At 37.2% G+C, this 21,099-nt stretch overlaps 1 protein-coding gene across 55 annotated transcripts in view, besides 2 other annotated features; it reads right to left on the reverse strand.

The window, feature by feature from the left end:
• PHF21A (PHD finger protein 21A) overlaps positions 1-21,099 on the reverse strand; it is a 192,136-nt gene that overhangs the window by 67,191 nt on the left and 103,846 nt on the right. The window lies entirely within an intron of this gene.
• Positions 4,212-4,834: an enhancer, noted in NCBI's record as "OCT4-NANOG-H3K27ac hESC enhancer chr11:46022272-46022894 (GRCh37/hg19 assembly coordinates)". NCBI's record gives its function as "activates a minimal SCP1, AML or CMV promoter by ChIP-STARR-seq in naive H9 embryonic stem cells {active_cell/tissue: H9 hESC(naive)}" and the evidence as "EXISTENCE:reporter gene assay evidence [ECO:0000049][PMID:30033119]".
• Positions 15,581-16,164: an enhancer, noted in NCBI's record as "OCT4-NANOG hESC enhancer chr11:46033641-46034224 (GRCh37/hg19 assembly coordinates)". NCBI's record gives its function as "activates a minimal SCP1, AML or CMV promoter by ChIP-STARR-seq in primed H9 embryonic stem cells {active_cell/tissue: H9 hESC(primed)}" and the evidence as "EXISTENCE:reporter gene assay evidence [ECO:0000049][PMID:30033119]".

The following is a 21,099-nucleotide window of genomic DNA, read 5'->3' on the forward strand; positions in this document are numbered from 1 at the left end:
ACAGAGAGAGAGAGAGAAACGTATTCCATTAATAATGCATTCTCCTGGAGTTTTTAATGCAGTGCCAGGAATGCTACTCTCCATATGCACAAAGGTAGATTAGTGCTTTTTCTACCCTGAGCAAAGGCTAGGTGTACATGCTTGAGCAGATAAAATGAAAGGCAATTTTGAAAGTAGGTGTTGGCACAATTAATCTTGAATAGGATCCCAATTATTTGGGAAACAAAAGGTAGCTATATTTATAACTCTGCCTTAACTAATGGCATAACAGCCTTCACAGCAACTCAGAATAAAGTTTCCATCATAGCAGTTTGTGTTTCTGAGTATATCCCTAACCACAGTAACCTAAAAAAGGTCAATAGTTATCCTAACAATACTGCTGACTACTAACTTACTTTCTTTGGGCACAAATGTATCCATTGTAAATGTTAGTCTATGGTACAGTGAATGTGATAATCACAAAATTAAAGTATAGGAACTCAAGTGGTACACCAATTTATTCACCAAATGCCATATTTAAAACACTTTTCTAGAGATATAAAACTATCACAAAATCTTGGTTTTGAAAATTAATAAGACGCTTAGTATTTCTGAAAGTGTTTGGCGGAGAAATGTTTGTTTACATTTACATTTTGAAGATGGATGATTAGATCTAGGAATTCTACTACACTCTTCCTTTTTCCTATGCTTGATGTATGAAACAGAGGGATTTTTTTCCATGAATGTTTTTCCTTTGCTTAATACCATTACAAACTTACATTGCTGTATGTTTTTATGACACTTATCACTAGTGTATCCTTTTTAAAAATGCTTTTCTTAACCCAAATATCAGAAGTGTACTTGCAAATAACAGGACTATACTTCTTAAAATCCAAATATAAAGGACATCATTTTACTATTTTCTTGCTGCACGTTACATACTAGAGGATTCAGCAAAATGATACAGTTGAATAACTGTATGCCAAAAGATGAAGCCAGCCCATGCCTACGTGAAACAGCTCCTGAAAATGCTGGTTTCTCAATGTCTAGATCCAGTGACAATCAGATTTCTCCTCTGCCTAATAACATTTTTCATTTCCCAATGAATAGAATTTCTTTCACTAAATGCTTGTTTTGCAGCCTTAAAAGTGGCAGACAAATTAAAATTCCACTCTCTATAACCACGTTAAGAATCAGACAAAAGCCAATCTACCTGTTCAGGATCTGTTGTTCTGACTCATTGTTGGGCCATCTGTTTATGTGTGCTGCTTGTCTCACGGTGCAAATCAACCTGCTGCTGGGCAGACCTGCCTCATGCTGCAAACTCATTCTGCAATTTCAACCTCCCTCACCAGCAATAGGTCCTCTTATCAGAACCTAAAACTACCACTTCAATCAACTCGAGTCAGACCTTATTCTACTGCTCTTGTATAAAAAAGTGATACACCACAGGCCCATGTGCAAACAGGTCACCTCTGAACACTGGGCTCGTAAGGAGGATGGCAGCACAGTTTTGCTCCTATCAAAACATTTCAGTACCATCAGTAGCAATCAGCCTGCTACCCAGGAATATACATGTACCACTGTGGAGAGAGGCTAAAAAGATTACTGAATCCCAGAGGACAAGAATATGAACTACAAATACAAACCATTCTAGTCGTCTTTGTTTTAAAGATTGGTAACTTACTCACAGCTAGGTTTCCATCTGTGTTATTAGCACACAAATTTAAAGCAGTTTAGAAAAGGTTCTCAGAACATCCTTTGAGTCATCCACAAATATCAATTTGCCTGCTGCTTTGCAAGCACTGTGCTAATCACTCTCTCATCTTAGATGTGAAAGGATGTTAGGGCCATGGATAGAGTGGTAGGCAGTATAAGGTTTGAAGACAATATTAAATGAATATGCCTACTGAGTATATAGTATTGTAACAGATGTAGTATATTAACAAGTTAAATTATTTAAGAAGTTTCCACATCTATTTTAGGAAACAGAAGATGTACATGCAAAATAACTCTACCATTTCTTTTTCTTTTTTTTTTTTAAACAGAGTTTTGCTCTTGTTGCCCAGGCTGGAGTGCAATTGCGTGATCTTGGCTCGGCGCAACCTCCACCTCCCAGGTTCAAGTGATTCTCCTGCCTCAGCCTCCCGAGTAGCTGGGATTACAGGTATGCGCCACCATGCCCAGCTAATTTTGTATTTTTAGTAGAGACGGGGTTTCTCCATGTTGGTCAGGCTGGTCTCGAACTTCGGACCTCAAGTCATCCACCTACCTCGGCTTCCCAAAGTGCTGGGATGCTGGGATTACAGGCATGAGCCACCACACCCGGCCTTTTTTTGTTTTTGTTTTTTTTTGAGACAGTCTCACTCTGTTGCCCAGGCTGGAGTGCAGTGGTGTGATCTCAGCTCACTGCGGCCTCTGACTCTTGGGTTCAAGCAATTCTCCTCCCTCAGCCTCCCTCCCGAATAGCTGGGATTACAGGCACCTGCCACCACGCCTGGCTAATTTTTATATTTTTTGCACAGACAGGGTTTCACCATGTTGGCCAGGCTGGTCTCAAACTCCTGAGCTCAAGTGATCTGCCCGCCTCAGCCTCCCAAAGTGCTGGGATTACAGGCGTGAGCCACTGTGCCCGGCCAGAACCCTACCATTTCTTACAGAGTATCAACAAAGAAAATTATTAGAAAATTTAAAAACTATGTAAACAGAGAAGAGAGCAGTAAATAGAGAAAACAGGACCACAAACAGAGGTCAAGATCAAACCTGGGAGAGTATATATTTTGTGCAATGCTAACTCAAGGAAACTTTTTTGAGATTAAAAATAAAACTTGGTCTATCAATAATAATTAAAAATTATTACTTTGCAGAAATGGAGTAAGGCAAGTTTCCCTGCTAGTGGTTGATTATAGGTCTCTAAACAGATAAACTAATATGTACCCAGTGAAATAGCACATAGTATATACTTCCACCAGGTTCTATTCTTTACATTTAGAAGACTGTTCCTTGAGACTAGAAAGTAGAATTATTCTACCTTGTTTCTAACAAATGTACTTCAAAATGCAAGCTTATTTTGAGAAGGGAAATTTAAAAATATATCTATAGAGGACAAAAAATGTATAATTTAGGAGGAGCTGAATATTTAATGGATTAGTGGGTTAGAAGAGGAAGAACAATGTCAATAACATGCAGAAATACATCTAAAAACACAGATTTGAAAGGACCAAATATTATGTTACTTATTTAGTGATGACAAAGCACAGAGATGATAAGGGACTGATACCTACATGAGAATTTATGTATCCCAGTGGGTGAGAAATTCATCATGTTTCATTTTGTTCAAGCACCTACTGCCTCCAGTATATAGAAACATCGTAACTTTTCTCTTGAGGATGAGGCATAGCAGTGGTGAACAGGAAGGCTTGTCTTATCCTCTGTGCTAAGAGAAAGTCGCAATATTCTGCAAGGCTGCAACATGACATTTACTAAACAACCAGCAACATCTCTAGTCTTTTTAAACAACATTGATAAGTAAAAATAATGATCTAGGGGAGATTCTAATTTTTCGATTGACTAGAGAGCTGAGGACAGTACATTAGCCCTTTTAACTGCTTGATAGGTGTAAGCAAAATAAGACAACACAATAGTACCAGTCAAATTGTTAGTGAAGGCAGCAAACTATAGAGAAGAAACCAACATATTTAGCACGAAGAAACTGCTACACTATTTCCCTCACTATGCTATGCAAACAAATTATTCACTTCTACACTATATGCCAAGGAATACAGTGTTATTTAGAAAATATATTCTCTCACCTCTAGCTGTAACAGAAGCTAAGCACTACTTCTTCATACTCTACTGAGAGTTGCAGGATCTCTCTCATCAAGATATGATAGTACTCATAGCACTTCTGAATTCACTGCTGAAAATGACCATTAGCTGCGATATGGGACTAAAGACAAGTACACAATTACCAGAAACTAGGTAACAGTCAAATGGTGAATAATTTTAAACAGCTTTAAAGACTCTATAACGTTTTTCTTTTGAAAAGTTGTAAAGACACTTAAAATTGACCAATGATCTGTCAAATTCAATTGTCTAATGATTTTAATCCAACCCCTCTGAAACATTCCTATTAAGATATAAATTTATGGCTGGGCATGGTGTCTCACGTCTGTAATCCCAGTACTTTGGGAGGCTGAGGCAGGCAGATCACCTGAGGTTTGGAGTTAGAGACCAGCCTGGCCAATAGGGTGAAACCCCATCTCTACTAAAAATACAAAAATTAGCCAGGTGTGGTGGTGGGTGCCTGTAATCCCAGCTACTTGGGAGGCTGAGGCAGGAGGATCGCTTGAACCCAGGAGATGGAGGTTGCAGTGAGCCAAGATCGCACCATTGCACTCCAGCCTGGGCAACAAAAGTGAACCTCCGTCTCAAAAAAATAAATAAATAAATAAATAAATAAATAAATTTATATGTCACTTTTTCATTGTTTCACGTTCAGAGGTCACTGTGTCATCTTCTATATTCAAAACCTATGTTAAAATAAGAATGTGACACTCTAAACTCTAAGTAATGCTACAGCAATAGCTCAACATATCTTAACCATAAAATCAGACATTTTGCTAACACAACTGAAATAATTCACTGGAACTTACTAACATAGCTGCTTCAGAAGCAGAAACATCACAGAAGTCTAAGAAGAAAAACTTAAAGCCATGTATGGTTCTGGTAGAGAATCTGAAGGGAATGTGGAAACTGAAAAACCATCAAGGTTAAGTCAAAGGTTCTGTGACCACCAGGGGGGCTGGAAATGGGGCTCTAAGATGTTCTGTCACCAGGTCCATTGACAGCACACTAGATATCACTGTTATCAACAAATTTCTATTCCGATAAAGTATTGCCATGTACTTAGCCAATGCACCTGTAGATTCTAATGAGATAAGCCCACATTGATATAACCTAGGAAATAAATAACAAGACTAACAATAGAAGCTCCAGTTGGTGTCTCCGTCACATGCACCACAGCATCAACAGACCACCTAATAACATAGGGAGGAAAACAAAAACACTGCTAGCTAACACTGAATTTTTGTATAAGAAAAGAACAGGAAAAGGATTAACTACATTCTTTTCCCCCATGCTTACATTTTTAAAATTCCATTAGTATCTTGCCAGATTTTCAAGAGAAAGGCTGTGTGCATCAGAGTTAACTGGTATGATAGGCCATGGGAGAATAAAACCAATAAGAAACCTTTCTGTTCTGCACTTCACAGGGCTGTCACTCGTACTAGAAAAACGTCACTTTGAAGCCCTGTTTGCATTCCATTTTTAACTAGAGGGAAGAGGATGGAGGTCTTTGGTTTCTATGACAACCCAGATGGGCCATAATACAAGATACTTACAAATGTTCAATTGCAGGGATGCCAAATCAAATTAAGGCAGAGTTAGCACTACTTCATAAAAACTAGATGGGGAGAAAACAAAATACTTATGGCAAGACGATGCCATTTCTAGAAGTGGTTCGGAAGGATTTCATGAGAAAATATAAAGAAAAGAGTGACTATTTTTAGTGAAAACAAAACAGTAAAACTAATATATAAAAATAAAGCTCCAATTTACATAAGTAAATGCTTTCATTAAAATTTAGACTACTGAAAAATTACTACTTCACTTAATGTTTTTAAACACTCCCTTACAAATAACATGATATTCATTAGTGATTTACATCATTATAATCTGGCACACTGGGCTAGGTTTTAATGGTGGGTTGAGCTCCTTTGGGCAACTTTTTCTTTTGCTCCATCCTCACCATTTGTTACTATATTTGGCCTTCATAACTAGAATGCATAGTCCTCAAAATATTTGTGGAATGGCTAATGCTTCAGAAATAAACTAATTTGTAACTTTACTACAATTTGTAAAATTTATTAACTTTCCAATAATAACCTACCATATCTCTTTCCATTTATAAATGATGATTTATTTGAGAACCACCCTCAGCAAATACTTCTGGGCTTTTGAAAGCACTATTTGGGGGAAAAAAAAAGGAATTCACACATGGCCTTTTTCATTTAAGGGCAGAAAGTGCTGTATATTCAAACTTCATAAGGGAACTTATTTACGTCACAGATATTACCATTAGATAAAGGGGATGTCATATACACCTTTAAGGGATATAATGAAGAACTTTGGACTCTGTCCCCGTAAAATGTCCTATGTGTGCAAACATATAAAACAATTTTGCACACATTTCAGGGAATTTAGAGGCACCCCCTCAAACCCCTCCACAGAACTAGTTTTATCTTTATTCAAAAGACCCTTCTTCCCCAAGGCCGAAATTTGTAATGAAAAAAAAAGTCTCTAGAACAAAGCAAAACAAAAAAACACCCAATGTATTTAACATTAAGTAGATCATTGATACCTTTTTACTTAAAACACAGCTCAAATTAAATGAATTCAAATAAAATGAATTAATTGGATAAATATCTGCTACAGAAATTTTTCTAAAGATTGAATACTATGATTTCTAACTGTTTTGGATTTGCAAAATCAGGTAAGTTTCTGTGACTTTCTCTTCTCCCCCAAATAGCACAAACCCATTTAAAATTATCTTGAGACATTCTGAGACTATAAAAACAGGAGTAGAATAATTTCCTCAATAGAATCTTTTTAAAGCTCAGATTATTTCTTGCTTTGAAAAGAAAATCTGTATATGAGAGTGCCACTAAAAAAAGTCCTAAAAACTTTGTGCATATAGTGTATGGAGGAAAGAGCTTGGGTTAAAGGCTAACATTCAAAAAAAAAAAAAAATGCCAAGTTTTCTTTTCACACCATCTATGTGTCTAGTCATCACTCAGACTCTCTTCGGTGTTAATACTGTTACAAAATGAGGATAATACCTATCCTCTCCCCCACTGCTAAAAGAAAAAAATATTTTATAAAACTAAAGAGTCATAAAATATTCAATATTCATAGTACTAATGACACTAAAACAAGAAATTGATAGCTTAAAAATGCTGATGAACTTGATTTTTAAAACACCATAAAGCTGCCCTGCTGCCCATAATGATGATGACATTTTCACGAAGGGCAGAGTGAGAAAACGCTACAATTCTCACTAGGATGATGACTAGTACTTATAGAAGATTAAAAATAAGAATGATATATTATGTAGAAGAGAAGTAAAGATGGAAGTATGAGTATGGCTCAGCACACTACAGAGCACATGAATTTTAATTTGAAAAGTACTGGCAAGGCCTTGCATGCAGGCCCACACAAGTGCTTTTAAAAGCTTCATTACACTCTGCAGACATTTGCCCTTCATCAATTGCTTCCTATGCCAGGATTTCCTTTTTGAGTGTTGCAACCTAATATTCTTCACCCAGGCAACCACAGCCTATTTTGGAAAGGTTCCCTATTTCAGAAGCTTCAGTGCTGTTTCCATTTGGAAATACATCTTTATGAAAATATGTATCATCCTCAGAACAAAAATGCTTCAATATATTAAGTTTCAGCTGTAAGTGATATTTTTAGAAAAGTGGTAATTTCAGAATCTCTGCTTCAAAATTACAGAGTTGGTTTTTTTAAACGGAGTCACAAAGTAGAAAATTAAAAAGATATACCAATGAATAAAATCCTGTCTCCCCTTTTTCTTATCCCATTTCATTTAAAAATGTTTAAATTTATTTTCCATAGATTCTTAAAATCATTGAATTATGCATACTGGTAAGAAATTTCATCCAATGTTCATCTTCATAAAAACCAAATAACTCAATGCAAAAGAGCTCTTAACAGTCAATTTTCTAAGAAATGGTCTGACATCACAGATGGTGTTTTCTATATAACAAAGTGAATCAATTTGAGATGTCTTGGACACTGTAAAAAACTTGTACTTTTGACCAAAGGAAATGGATTTCACTTTTAATAGATAAGAAATAAGAGACACTGGGGAGTAGGGAAGGGGTAGAGGAGAGAAGGAAGTCCTTGTTCTAAGATTATATTAAAAGCTACTTAAAACATGTAAGTGACAATATTTCATAAACTGAAATATTTTATCAGTAGCTATGACAGAATATTCTCTATTCTTTTCTTCAACATAAAAGTTTTAAAGAACTGTGCTCATTTGACCTCTTATCAAACAAAAACTCACTTTTCTTCATATTGGTTTGCATAGCACAGACTATTACTTTTTCATAGCACTTAACTTTTACTGTGGATGAGGGCTGTATCTGCCAGGCCTAGAATGCTTTCCATTGAACTGTCTCCTCAAGACTAAAGGACTCATCATCTAAAAGATGTCTTTGTAAAATACAGTTTATGCCTCCTGAAAATACCATCTCTCCCTCTCTCCCATTCACTACACACATACTTACATGTGTTCGAAATTTATTCCCCTTCTTTATCATGGCTACCCTCAAGAAAAAACACAGGGAAACAGATAAGCACTACACAACAAAGTTTACTTTTTCCCTTTACAATAATATTTGTCTCTTACTGCAAATGTCTCTGAATATGGAAAATGAGATTATGCAGTTAAATTTTAACACATGCATGTATACACCCAACTAATACAGCAGTCCCCCACATCAGTAATTTCACTTTCTGCAGGCTCAGTTACCAAGAGCAACCGCAGTCCAAAAATTCAGGTTGAGCATCTTTAATCTGAAAAATCTGAAATCCAAAATGCTCCAAAATCCAAAACTTTTTGAGCACTGACGTGATGCCACAACTGGAAAACTTCACACCTGACCTCAAGTGATAGATCATAGTCAACATGCAGTCAAAACTTTGTTTCATGTACAAAATGATGTAAAATATTGTATAAAATTTATACAAATTTATGCTTGGGACCAGAAGTGTTTCAGATTTTGAGATTTTTCAGACTGTAGAATATTTGCACAATATATTAACGCCTTGTATATACCAAATAATCTTAGGCAGTTGCTTTTTCTGGTTGAAGGTTTCAAGATAATAAGAAAAGCAAAAACCTCATTTGCAATATTAACTTAATTAATGGGCACCAAATGTTCAGACCTTCCTGTTCTGACTTATAAAACAGGTTATTTTGACTCCATTAGCAAATGCCCCTGATTATTCTCAGCTTTTTATTACATACTAGGTAAATGAAACTATCAACGATCCTTTTACTAAGAAATGTGAACTGCCTTATACTGGAATAGTTAAATAAACATTAGGGGAACCATCAGCACCAACTACTTACTCCCTATGAGCAATGAATAAAAGAATAATATTTGTAGCACAATTAAGCTTCCATAGCTCAAGACGGATCATCCCACCAATTCTGAAACAATTTACTCTAGCTGTATGAATCTGATCATAAAGAAAAAAGAAACACTTCTAATGAAATGTGGAAATGCTTTTTTTGCATGTGAATCGTATTCATTTCTTTAAAAAACTTCAACTTCAGAACTCTCAAGAACAGTAAGAAAAATAAAACATACAATTTTAAAAGTTTATTTGGAGCCTACAAATGCCTGTGGAAAAGCACAATTTTAAACTTTGAAAATGGGCTGGTCTAATATAAAACAGTCTTTGTAGATAAAAAATAATTCAAATTCAGACAAGAGAGAATTAAAGAATTAGGATGTTCACTGTTATTTTACATTTACGATTAAAGAACCAGATTAACTGACAAGTAGATCACTGTTGACATAGTTCCTATAAATAAGAGCCAAATGATTTTAAAATTAAATGTTATAAACTTCATGCTTTAAAAAATGTGTACTCCCAATTTTCATTTGTTTTCCAATGCTTCCAGAAGCCCAAACAAGAATTATTTTAATAGGGCAAAAAACCATGAGAAATCAGTAAATTCTTAATCTTTCGGTTGTATATACAATTAGGGCAAAGGCTAAGTCAAATCCAGAATTAATAAGCACCTAACGAAATATTGCAACTTGTTATAGTTCTTTAGTTTGAATAAATCTGCCCTCAGTGTTCTATCTTCCTAAACTTTCTGAATAACCTCCACAAATCACGCTATATAAATAACAAGGAGTCTAAAAGTTTACTGCCACATTCACTCTCTAAAGATACTAAAATCAGTTCATCTACACAGGCAGCTGTCTGCCTGAGCTAGAGGATGAAGTTATGCCTTAATGAACTAACGCCATCTAGTGGGATCAGTGAGATTTCAGCTGAAACTAGTTTACAACAGGTTACTACAATCTATTCAGCTGGTCAAATGTCTTATTTAAAAAGATACACTTGTATTAAGTATTGAACTGTCTTAAACGCCTATTAGAATGTGATATACTTGCCTACAATAAAAATGGCACAAAAATATTTTAAGACCAACAACCCTCCCTTGGAATAATATTTCTATTCTTTCCTTCAAAGGCACAAAATACAAATCAACAGGTACTAACAATATGTATTTTCAAAGATCTCAGAAAATGCAAAGTCAAAGTCAGAACAACAGTCAGTAAAATTTAAAGATAACAATAACAAGAGCTATTATTTACTTATTAAGTGCCTAGCATATGCCACACACTTCACAGTTTTAATCTTTAGAGCGTTCCTGCAAGCTCGTTTTACAGGTGATTTCCCATTACAAAAACACTTAAATATAGAGTGACTAACTTAAAAAGTGATCTTTCTTCCCTCCAACCAACCATAACGTGACGAGACATCTATCAACACTAGCTCACTGCATACCTACCATGTGTTCAAAAACATGCAAAGTGATAGTGAGGTTCTAAGAGATGAGAAAAGGGCCCCCTGTCTTTTCAAGGAATCCAGGTAGCGCTGAAGCCAGGAATCTGTGGCACTTTACAGAAGATACTTCCATCTACCTTTTTTCTTCTTCTTCTTTTTTTTTTTTTCGAGATGGAGTTTCACTCTTGTCCAGGCTGGGGTGCAATGGCGTGATCTTGGCTCGCTGCAACCTCCACCTCCCAAGTTCAAGTGATTCTCCTGTCTCAGCCTCCTGAGTAGCTGGGTTTACAGGTGCCCACGACCATGTCCAGCTTATTTTTGTATTTTTAGTAGAGATGGGGTTTCACCCTGTTGCCCAGGCTGGTCTCGAACTCCTGACCTCAGGTGATTCGCCTGCTGTGGCCTCCCAAAGTGCTGGGTATTACAGGTGTGAGCCACCGTGCCCGGCCCCATCTATCTTTTATGATAGTTTTACTGTTAATTTTATTCACATTAAAAATAAACTGCTAGCATGAATATTAAATCCGTCATTTTAAAATTTAGTTACATTAATTTAAATCAAAAAACGATGTGAAAGAAGTGAGATGTGTACCCTTTACATAACCTAACAATGGACATATTCTTTCTTTAATTTCCATTAATATGACTTATTTTTATCATTTTCAAATTTTAGAACAAGGGACTTTTCCATCTTACTCCTAAGTGGAATGTCAGAGTCTTTAAAAAGGTACAGGATCTATCACAATAATCCGTGTTGTTATGTTATTTTCATTTTTAATCGCATATCTGCTTCTTCTTTTTCTGTCTGTACTTGGGATTACCATGCTCCAGATAAGAACAGAAGGGTACTAAAGTAAAATGTGTTTAATGTTGTTCTACCCACCAACTGGTAGGTGAAAATTAACACGAAGTGAAGTTCAGAAAGTAACCTGCAAACTATCCCATTTTCTATTTGGGAATGTTAACTTTAACATTTCAGCACCTTCCCCTACAATGTGTATTTGTTTACTCACATACGCCCATACACTCTATCATGTGAAATCCTAGACTAATCCATAATGTTCAGATGATAACTCAATAAAATCTCAAAACATTTGTGAGGTCTTCAATTGAAATTTTCCTGTGTGTGTGTCCTTATTAAAGAAAATACAGAGCAGAGTTCCACACTGTGAAGCATATCCGGGACACTATGGACCACATATGGCCTGGGTTCTGAAAAGATGAGCTAAACTTAATCAAAATTCCTCTCTTGCTTTCCTGAAGGACTCAGGAAATGGGCAGCATACATCTCATCTTGACCCAGATTTGCTTCAGTAGAGAAGTGCCAATGTCTTGAAAGCTACTCCATGGGTCAAAGGTAGAAGACGGGAAAAGAGTCTGCTTTGATTGGCTGTCAAATTTACCTGTATATCTAGCAAAGGAAGAGAAATGGCAAGATATGGTGGAAATGTGACTCGGTTTTGTGTATGAAAACCTGGTGCTGCTGGACAAGTCACACTCTCTGAGTTCCAGTATATTCATTTATAAAATAAAAGGAAAATAATAATATATGTTTTACATATCTCATATAAATAAATCTGAATATAATTTTTGTTAGATTTAAGTAAATAAATGTAAATTCAACTGCAAAATGCTATGTTTGCAACTGTAAAATGTGAATGCAACTACAAAATAATCTTGTCAACCCTATCCACTCCCATTCCACTACTTATTTGACCAGTGTTCACCCTCCATCTTAATCAGATCCTTCAATCAGACTGGACTCTTCCCTGCTCAGTGAACTCAACAAATTGGTTCACATTTCACTTTTTTTTTTTTTTTTTTTTTTGGAGACGGAGTCTCACTGTCGCTCACGCTGGAGTGCAGTGGCGTGATCCCGGCTCACTGCAACCTCCACCCCCTGGGTTCAAGCGATTCTCCTGCCTCAGCCTCCTGAGTAGCTGGGATTACAGGCGTGCATCACCATGCCCAGCTAATTTTCTGTATTTAGTAGAGACAGGGTTTCACCATGATAGCCAGGCTGATCTCCAACTCCCGACCTCAGGTAATCTGCCCGCCTCGGTCTCCCAAAGTGCTGGGATTACAGGGGTGAGCCACTGCGCCCGGCCATTAGTTCACATTTCTCACCTTCTGTTCATGATGTTCCCTGGTCCTGGAGTACCTTTTTTCTTTCACCCAATTCTGTTTAACCATCTACCTTTGAGGGTTCTGACACATTCCATTTCCTTTATAAAACTTTTCTTGACTCTACCTGCCTAGAATGATCTGTGAAACCCTATTATACCAAGTGTCTGAACCATACAATTTAACATCTAAACATGTAACGATAATAGCAGCTGCACACATTTATTATAGTACTTACTATAAGGCAAGCACAGTTCTAAGCACGCTATGTATTACATAATTTAATCTTCAAAGCAATCCTAGGAGATATGTACTATATAGTATGCTATTTTACAGATGGAGAAACTAAAGCACAGAAAAGTAACTTTCCAACATTCCAAAAGTAGCAAATAGCAGAGCCAGAGCAGACTTCCAACTTGGGCAGTTTGGCTACAGAGCCCATCCACTTAGTCACTGCACAATACAATTAATATAATTCTGCTCGTTCATTGTTTTATGTGTTCTGCTTTGTCTTTTGGTCCAGAATGTGTGGTTACTCAGGATAACAGTCATTTCATCTGGTATAACTCTTTCATCACCTTGCATTTTTCTGGCTTACACAATTAGGTGCTAAGTGTTTCCTTGAAACAGATAAAGGGGCCGTCAGTCACTTTACAGTATTTTCATTAAATAAGTATCCTAATTTGTTCAGCTTCTAACAAAAGATTATTCCTGCTTCTATCCCAGAATCAAAAATTTTGGGGAAGTCTGAGGAACATTCATTTAGTTGCTTAACCATATCATACTAAAAGAAAGGGGAGAAAAATATGCCAAGTTTGAGAGTTACTGCAGGAATGAGAACAATCATTTAAAGACAAAAACTAAAGCTCTCTCCTGATATACACTCATGAAGCAGTCTCCTGGGCATTTCTAAAGAAAATTAATAATGGAGATTTAATAATTCAATGATTAAGTCACCTGAGACCAGGAACAGTCCAAAATACACAACTATTTTTAAAATGTCAGCATTTTGTAAATATAACTGACATTACAGTTAACAAAGGCTTTTCTCTTAAATACATTATGTTACTTATACCTCGCAACAATCTTGTGAAGATACTTTACAGAAGAATAACATGAAACTCAAGGAGATTTAGTAATTTGTCTAAAATTATACAGTTAAGTGGCAAAGCCAGAAACCAAATCTTTGTTTCCTGACTCTAATGCCTGAATTTCTTTCTGCTTTACGACATTGTTTGGGAATAGTGGTATGAATAACTCAAAATTAAATTATATTTGGCACCGGAGTATGCTTTTTGGGTTCTCTTCTTTTGGTAATTCATAATACTGCAAGTCAACAATCACAAAACAAAACAATCTTGGCTGTGGAAGAAATAACAGGTTTTCTAAGCCAGCGTGCAAAGCCTTGACCCACAGAAGTTAGAGAAGAACAAGGAAAAAGATATATGTATTTCTGTGCCTCTCTTTTCCCCTTATCTTGGAAATTCACTGTGTCTCTCCCTGACTAACTCTACACCCCTACCCAGTGGACTGAGGATAATAATGATCAGTTCATTCATAAGTCTGAATTGTTGGGGGCAATTAAAGTAACCAGGCAGTGAACAGCATCATACCAGCTCCTTTCTCTCCTACTATAATAAATAAGCATGATCAAGTCTCCTCTGTATAAAAAACTTTCTCTTTCTCTCTCTCTCTCACACACACACACCCCTCTCAAAAAAGTGATCAACAGAAAACAGGCATCTGCTTAATTATAGTTCCCTTTCCCCTTTATCACAAAACTTCTTAAAGGAGTTACTGGACTCTTTGATCTTGCCACTAGATCGTGAACTCCTTGAGGGAAAGAATTAACCGTTTTAATTTGTAACTTCACTTTTTAGCCTGGCTAGTGGTAGGGTGTATAAAAGTGTTCAATGAGGTTGGGCATGGTGGCTCACACCTGTAACCCCAGCACTTTGGGAGGCAGAGGAGGGCAGATCACCTGAGGTCAGGAGTTCAAGGCCAATCTGCCCAACATGGTAAAACCCTGTCTCTACTAAAAATACAAAAATTAGCTGGGTGTGGTGGTGCATGCCTGTAATCCCAGGTACTTAGGAGGCTGAGGCAGGAGAATCGCCTGAGCCCAGTAGGTGGAGGTTGCAGCAGTGAGCGGAGATGGTGCCACTGCACTCCAGCCTGAGCGACAGTGCAAGATTCAGTCTCAAAAAAAAAAAAGTGTTCAATGAACCAATTGTTGAAGTAAGAAGATTGGCAATTTCTAAGATACTTTCTCGCTCTGGAAATCTAGGATTTCAAGACATGTCCCACTTGGTGGTACTAAGCACTGCTTTTCATTTCTAAATTCAAGAAACAGTTTTGGTTTAGGTCCTTTCTCTTTTCTGACTCCCGCAGAATACAGATGTTCTTTCAAGCAATGTATTTAGCTAACAAAAGTTCCCTAAAGCAAAATAGTGGATGTCCATGAGCTTGGCAGAGGGGAATTTTACGAGTTTTTATTTACTGCTTGATTGCAAAGATAAAAAAATCACTCTTAACTCTTACCTTCTTTTTATTCTCTCTATGCAACACAACAAAACAAAAAGAGCAAAAACTTCTTTAGTGTAACATTAATTTTAAAACATTAGGCACAAAAATTAGAAGCAACCTGCACACTCTAGGTCCTTCACTCTATCTAGATTTCCAGATGACTATCACCTTCTTTACTTCCTGTCCATCCTGGGACCCATGATAAACCACTTCTACTATGTTCTCCCTCACACTAGACCCCTTTTCCTTTTTACCTTCATAATCCCTAGTCCTGAGCTGTTCATTACTACCGGAAAGAATCCTTCAACCAGGCCAAAGGCTCTGCCTGAAGTTCATGCCATCTTTACCCTAACCTTCTAATCATCCATGTGTGATCATCTATCCATTTCCCTCAGAAAGTATTCAAATCTTTGTCTTTCCTGACCTCTTTGTGCAGCTGCACTATTACTGACCATGCTCTTCTTGGGCCTCTCTGCTTTCCTGTCACCATCTGCTTAATTCTCTTTCTCTTGGCCCAGAAAGCTCCTTCTTAGACCCTTTTATATTCAGATGCTTTTCAAGTTTCTGTCCAGGCCTTCTTTGTTTCCTCCCTATAGTCATTCCCTGGATAACAACATTCAGTCTCAATGAAGCAATTATCTCCACAAACAGTGAAGGACCACACACCTTGGACAGAATTCTGGCCCTCATCACTAGCTATTTGGTCTTACGCAAGTTAACTCACGACAGTCTCTGTTTATTCACCTCTTAAATGGAGATAAAAGTAGCTACCTCAAAGGGCTGTGAAGATTAAATGAGGTAACATATATCAATATAAAGTACCTAGCACAGTGCCTAGAACATAGTAGAGGTAAGTAAATCTATATCTCTAGTGCTGGCCTCTCCTGCAACCCTACACCCACATTTCTAATTCTATCTTAATATCCCACCAACAACTCAAATCTGGCCTGCTTAAGGCCAAACTCATTGTCTTCCCTCTCTTGCAGTTTCTCATCTTAATGATACCCTAAGAGCTCATGCTGGGATTTCTAAGCATGTTTACTTCATCACATCCCCCCAACTCTTTACATCTAATTAGTCTTTGCACTGTCTTGTACTTCTGTCCTGCTGCTGTACTTCAGTCCTCATAGGGGAAAATTTACCATCAGTCCCCCTTATCCTTGGGGAGTATGTTCCAAGTCCCCCAGTGGATGCTTGAAACTGCAGATAGTACTGAACCCTATATATACTATGTTTTTTCCTATATATTCACACCTATGATAAAGTTTAATCTGTAAGTTAAACTTATTTAAACCCGGTTAAACTGGGTATTAGTATATACCCAGTAATGGGATTGATGGGTAAGAGATTAACAACACCTCATAATAACACAATATTATATACTATAATAATGTGAGATGAGTGGCATAGGCACTGTGAATAGAAAATTCCAGAAAAAATAATCCATAAGTTTTAAACTGCACGCTTAGAGTAGCCTGACGAAATCTCTCCCTGTCCCACCCCTTCCTACCCAGACTGCCATTGGTCACTTAGTAGCTATCTCGGTTATCAGATCAACTGTGGCAGTATCACAGTGCTGTGTTCAAGTAACCCTTATTTTACTTAATAATGGCCCCAAAGCGAAAGAGTAGTGATGTAATATTTTTGGGCCTCAGCTGACCGTGAGTAACTAAAGCCACAGAAATGGAAACTGCAGGTAAGTGGGGGAGTACTGTGTAATGTCTTCCTAACTGATCTCTCCCCATCTAAAGTAGACACAGTCATGTGTTGCTTAATAACAGGGATATGTCCTGAGAAATGCATCCTTAGGTCATTTCATTGCTGTGCGAACATCATACAATGTACTTAAACAAACTTAGATGGTACAGCCTACTACACACCTAGGCTATATGGTAATAGCCTATTGCTTATGGGCTAAACCTAGGAGCAGGTTACTGTACTGAATACCATAGGTAACAATGGTAAGTATTTGTGTATCTAAATATATCTAAAAATGGAAAAACTACAGTAAAAATACACTACGAAAGATGAAAAACGGTAAACCAGCTTGCAGGACTGGTAGTTGTACTGGGTGAGTCAGTGAATGAGTGGTTAGTAAATGTGAAAGCCTAACACATTACTATACACTACTCTAGACTTTATAATACCGTATACTTAGGCTACGCTAATTTTAATTTCTTTGAAAAACATTATAATTATATTTATTTATTTTAGATTCAAGGGGTACATGTGCAGGTTTCTTATAACAGCATATTTCATAATGCTGAGGTTTGGGCTTCTATTGATCCTGTGACCCACATGGTGAACATAGTACCCAACAGGAAGTTTTTCAACCCTTGCTCCCATCCTTCCCTACTCACTTGTGGAGTCCCTAGTGTTTACTGTTCCCATCTTTATGTCCAAGTGTACCCAATGTTTAACTCCCACTTATAAATGAGAACATATAATATTCAGTTTTCTGTTTCTGCATTAATTCCCTTAGGATAATGGCCTCCAGCTGCAGCCATGTTGCTGCAAAGGATATTATGTTGTTCTTTTTTATGGCTGTGTAATATTCCAGTGTATATGCACCACATTTTCTTTATCCAATCCACTGTTGATGGACACCTAGGTTGATTCCATGTCTTTGCTACTGTGAATAGTGTGGCAATGAACATACAAGTGCAAGTGTACTTTTTGGTAGACTGAGGTATTTTCCTTTGGGTATATATCCAGTAATGGGATTGCTGGGTCAAATGGTAGTTTTACTTTTATTCTTTCATTAATCTCCAAATGGCCGAGGCTGAACTAATTTACATTCCCACCAACAGTATATGTGTTCCCTTTTTTCCATAGCCTCTCCAACATCTGTTATTTTTGACTTTTTAATAATAGTTATTCTGGGGCCGGGCGCGGTGGCTCACGCCTGTAATCCCAGCACTTTGGGAGGCCGAGGCGGGCGGATCACGAGGTCAGGAGATCGAGACCATCCCGGCTAAAACGGTGAAACCCCGTCTCTACTAAAAATACAAAAAATTAGCTGGGCGTAGTGGCGGGCGCCTGTAGTCCCAGCTACTCGGGAGGCTGAGGCAGGAGAATGGCGTGAACCCGGGAGGCGGAGCTTGCAGTGAGCCGAGATCCCGCCACTGCACTCCAGCCTGGGCGACAGAGCGAGACTCCGTCTCAAAAAAAAAAAAAAATAAAAATAAAAAAATAAAAAAAAATAAAAAAATAAAAAATAGTTATTCTGACTGGTGTAAAGTGGTATCACTGTGCTTTTGATTTGCATTTCTTTGATGATTAGCAATGTTGAGCATTTTTTCATGTTTGTTGACTGCTTGTATGTCTCCCTTCAAAAGTGTCTGTTCATGTTGTTTGCCCACTTTTTAATGGGGTTATTTATTTTGTTGTTGTTGTTGATTTAAGTTCCTTACAGATTCTGGATATTAATCTTTTGTTGGCTACATAGACTGCAAATATTTTCTCCCATTCTGTAGGTTGTCTGTTTGCTCTGATAGTTTCTTTTGCTATGCAGAAGCTCTTTAGTTTAATTAGGTCCCAAATGTCAATTTTTGTTTTTGTTACAATTACTTTTGAGGACTTAGCCATAAATTCTTTGCCTAGGCCAATTTCCAGAAAAGTATTTCCAAGGTTTTCTTCTAGGATTCTTATAGTTTGAGATTTTAAAAATTTATTTCTTCAATAATAAATTAACCTTAGCTTAGTGTAATTTTTTTGCTTTATAAAGTTTAATTTTTAAACTTTTTGACTCTTTGTAATAACAGCTTAAAACACATTGTACAGTTGTATAAAAATACTTTTTTTATCCTTATGTTTTAAGTTTTCTATTTTTAAATATTTAAATTTTTTGTAACTTTTTAAGCATTTTAATTAAAAACAAAGACACAAACACACACATTAGCCTAGGCCTACACAGGGTCACAATCATCAATATTACTGTCTTTTACCTCTATACCTTATCCCACTGGAAGGTCTTCACAGACAACAACATCCATGGAGCTGTCATCTTCTATGGTAACAATGCCTTCGTCTGAAATACCTCCTGAAGGACCTGCCCGAGGCTATTGCTGTTTTACAGTCATCTATCTATCTATCTATCTATCTATCTATCTATCTATCTATGCAGAAGGAGTATATTTTAAAGTAGTGATAAAAAGTAAACACATAAACTGATAACACAGTCATTTATTATTATCAAATATGTACTGTACATAATTGTATGTGCTATAGTTTTATATGACTGGCAGCACAGTAGGTTTGTTTACACCAGCATCACCACAAACATGAGTAATGTATTACGCTACCAAGTAGTTATGATGGCTACTAAGCAACAGAAAATTTTTAGCTCCACTATAATCTTATGGGACCACCATCATATATGTGGTCTGTTGTTGACCTAAATGTCTTTGTGTGACTGTAGATCCTTTTGCTAGTAGAACAATCTTTCTCAAAAAGGGATATCACCATGTCATTTCATGACTCAAAATTTCCCAGAGTCTTCTCCCTAAACTCTTAGGTAAGGCATTTAAGGCCCTTAACAACTATACTTCGCCTCCCATTATATCCATTCCTTCAACCACTCTGAATTATCTGCTATTTCCAGAACTCAAAATGCTTTTTCCTGCCTCTGTACCTTTGCCTTTGCTTAAATTATTCCCTCTCTCATGCAACACCTTTCCTACCTGTCCAAACCTTACCCATTCTAGAAGACCTAGATCAAACACCATTTCTTACATAAACCCTTCCCTAATCCCCTACTCAGGATTAATATCTCCCTTCTCTATATTCAAAGAGCACCCGTGTACAACTTTAAAATGGCACATGACATAATCTATTTTACACTGCAATTTGTAGCTTATGTTTTTCTCCTCTACTATACTGCCAGCACCTTAAGAACATGGGGAGACTAGGTCTTGCTGATTTTATAGCCCACTACCTGGAGCTTGGCAGCCCTCAGAAATGTTTGGTAAACTGAACTGAATCATTACATGATTCTATCATCTAGAATGCAGACCTATAGCACTTAAAAATTAAACAGACACGACCTCAACCAATGATCAAAATTTGTATCAGCAATTCTGGGGCAAATCAACATGATGTGCCCTGATGTGATGAAGTCACAAGGTAGTGTTCTTACTAAAAATGTTTAACCTGGATTTTTTTTTTTTTAATTGAGATGGAGTCTCACTCTGTCACCCAGGCTGGAGTGCAGTGGCGTGATTTTGGCTCACTGAAACCTCTGCCTCCCAGGTTCCAGCGATTCTCCTGCCTCAGCCTCCTGAGTTGCTGGGATTACAGGCATGTGCCACCACACCCAGCTAATTTTTGTATTTTTAGCAGAGACGGGGTTTCTCCACATTGGTCAGTCTGGTCTCAAACTCCCGACCTCAGGTGATCCGCTCGCCTCAGCCTCCCAGAGTGCTGGGATTACAGGCGTGAGCCACCACGCCCGGCCTACATCTATTAATTTTTAACAGGCATATTTGCTATCTTCTCATAGTTCTAGCAAAGGAAAAAATCAGATTTGTTTTTTTAGCACTCAGAACGACTAAAGAAGTAGGAGATACTAAAGTATATTGAAAGCTAACAAGACTGTAAACTACTCTTTGCAAATACTAGTTGGATGTGTTCTTTTCTTGCTTTGGGTGTGTGGACTGATAACACTCTGTCTCCCTGTGGTGGTAGGAAGCTATTTGTAAGCTGAAACTCCTGACAAGGAAGAGCTCCATATTTATAAGTTACAGTTCAGGATTTGCCCTTAAGGGGGAAAAAAAAAAAACACCTCCCTCATCT

The sequence above is a fragment of the Homo sapiens genome, chromosome 11 (genome assembly GCF_000001405.40).
Source record: "Homo sapiens chromosome 11, GRCh38.p14 Primary Assembly".
Lineage (NCBI taxonomy): Eukaryota > Metazoa > Chordata > Mammalia > Primates > Hominidae > Homo > Homo sapiens.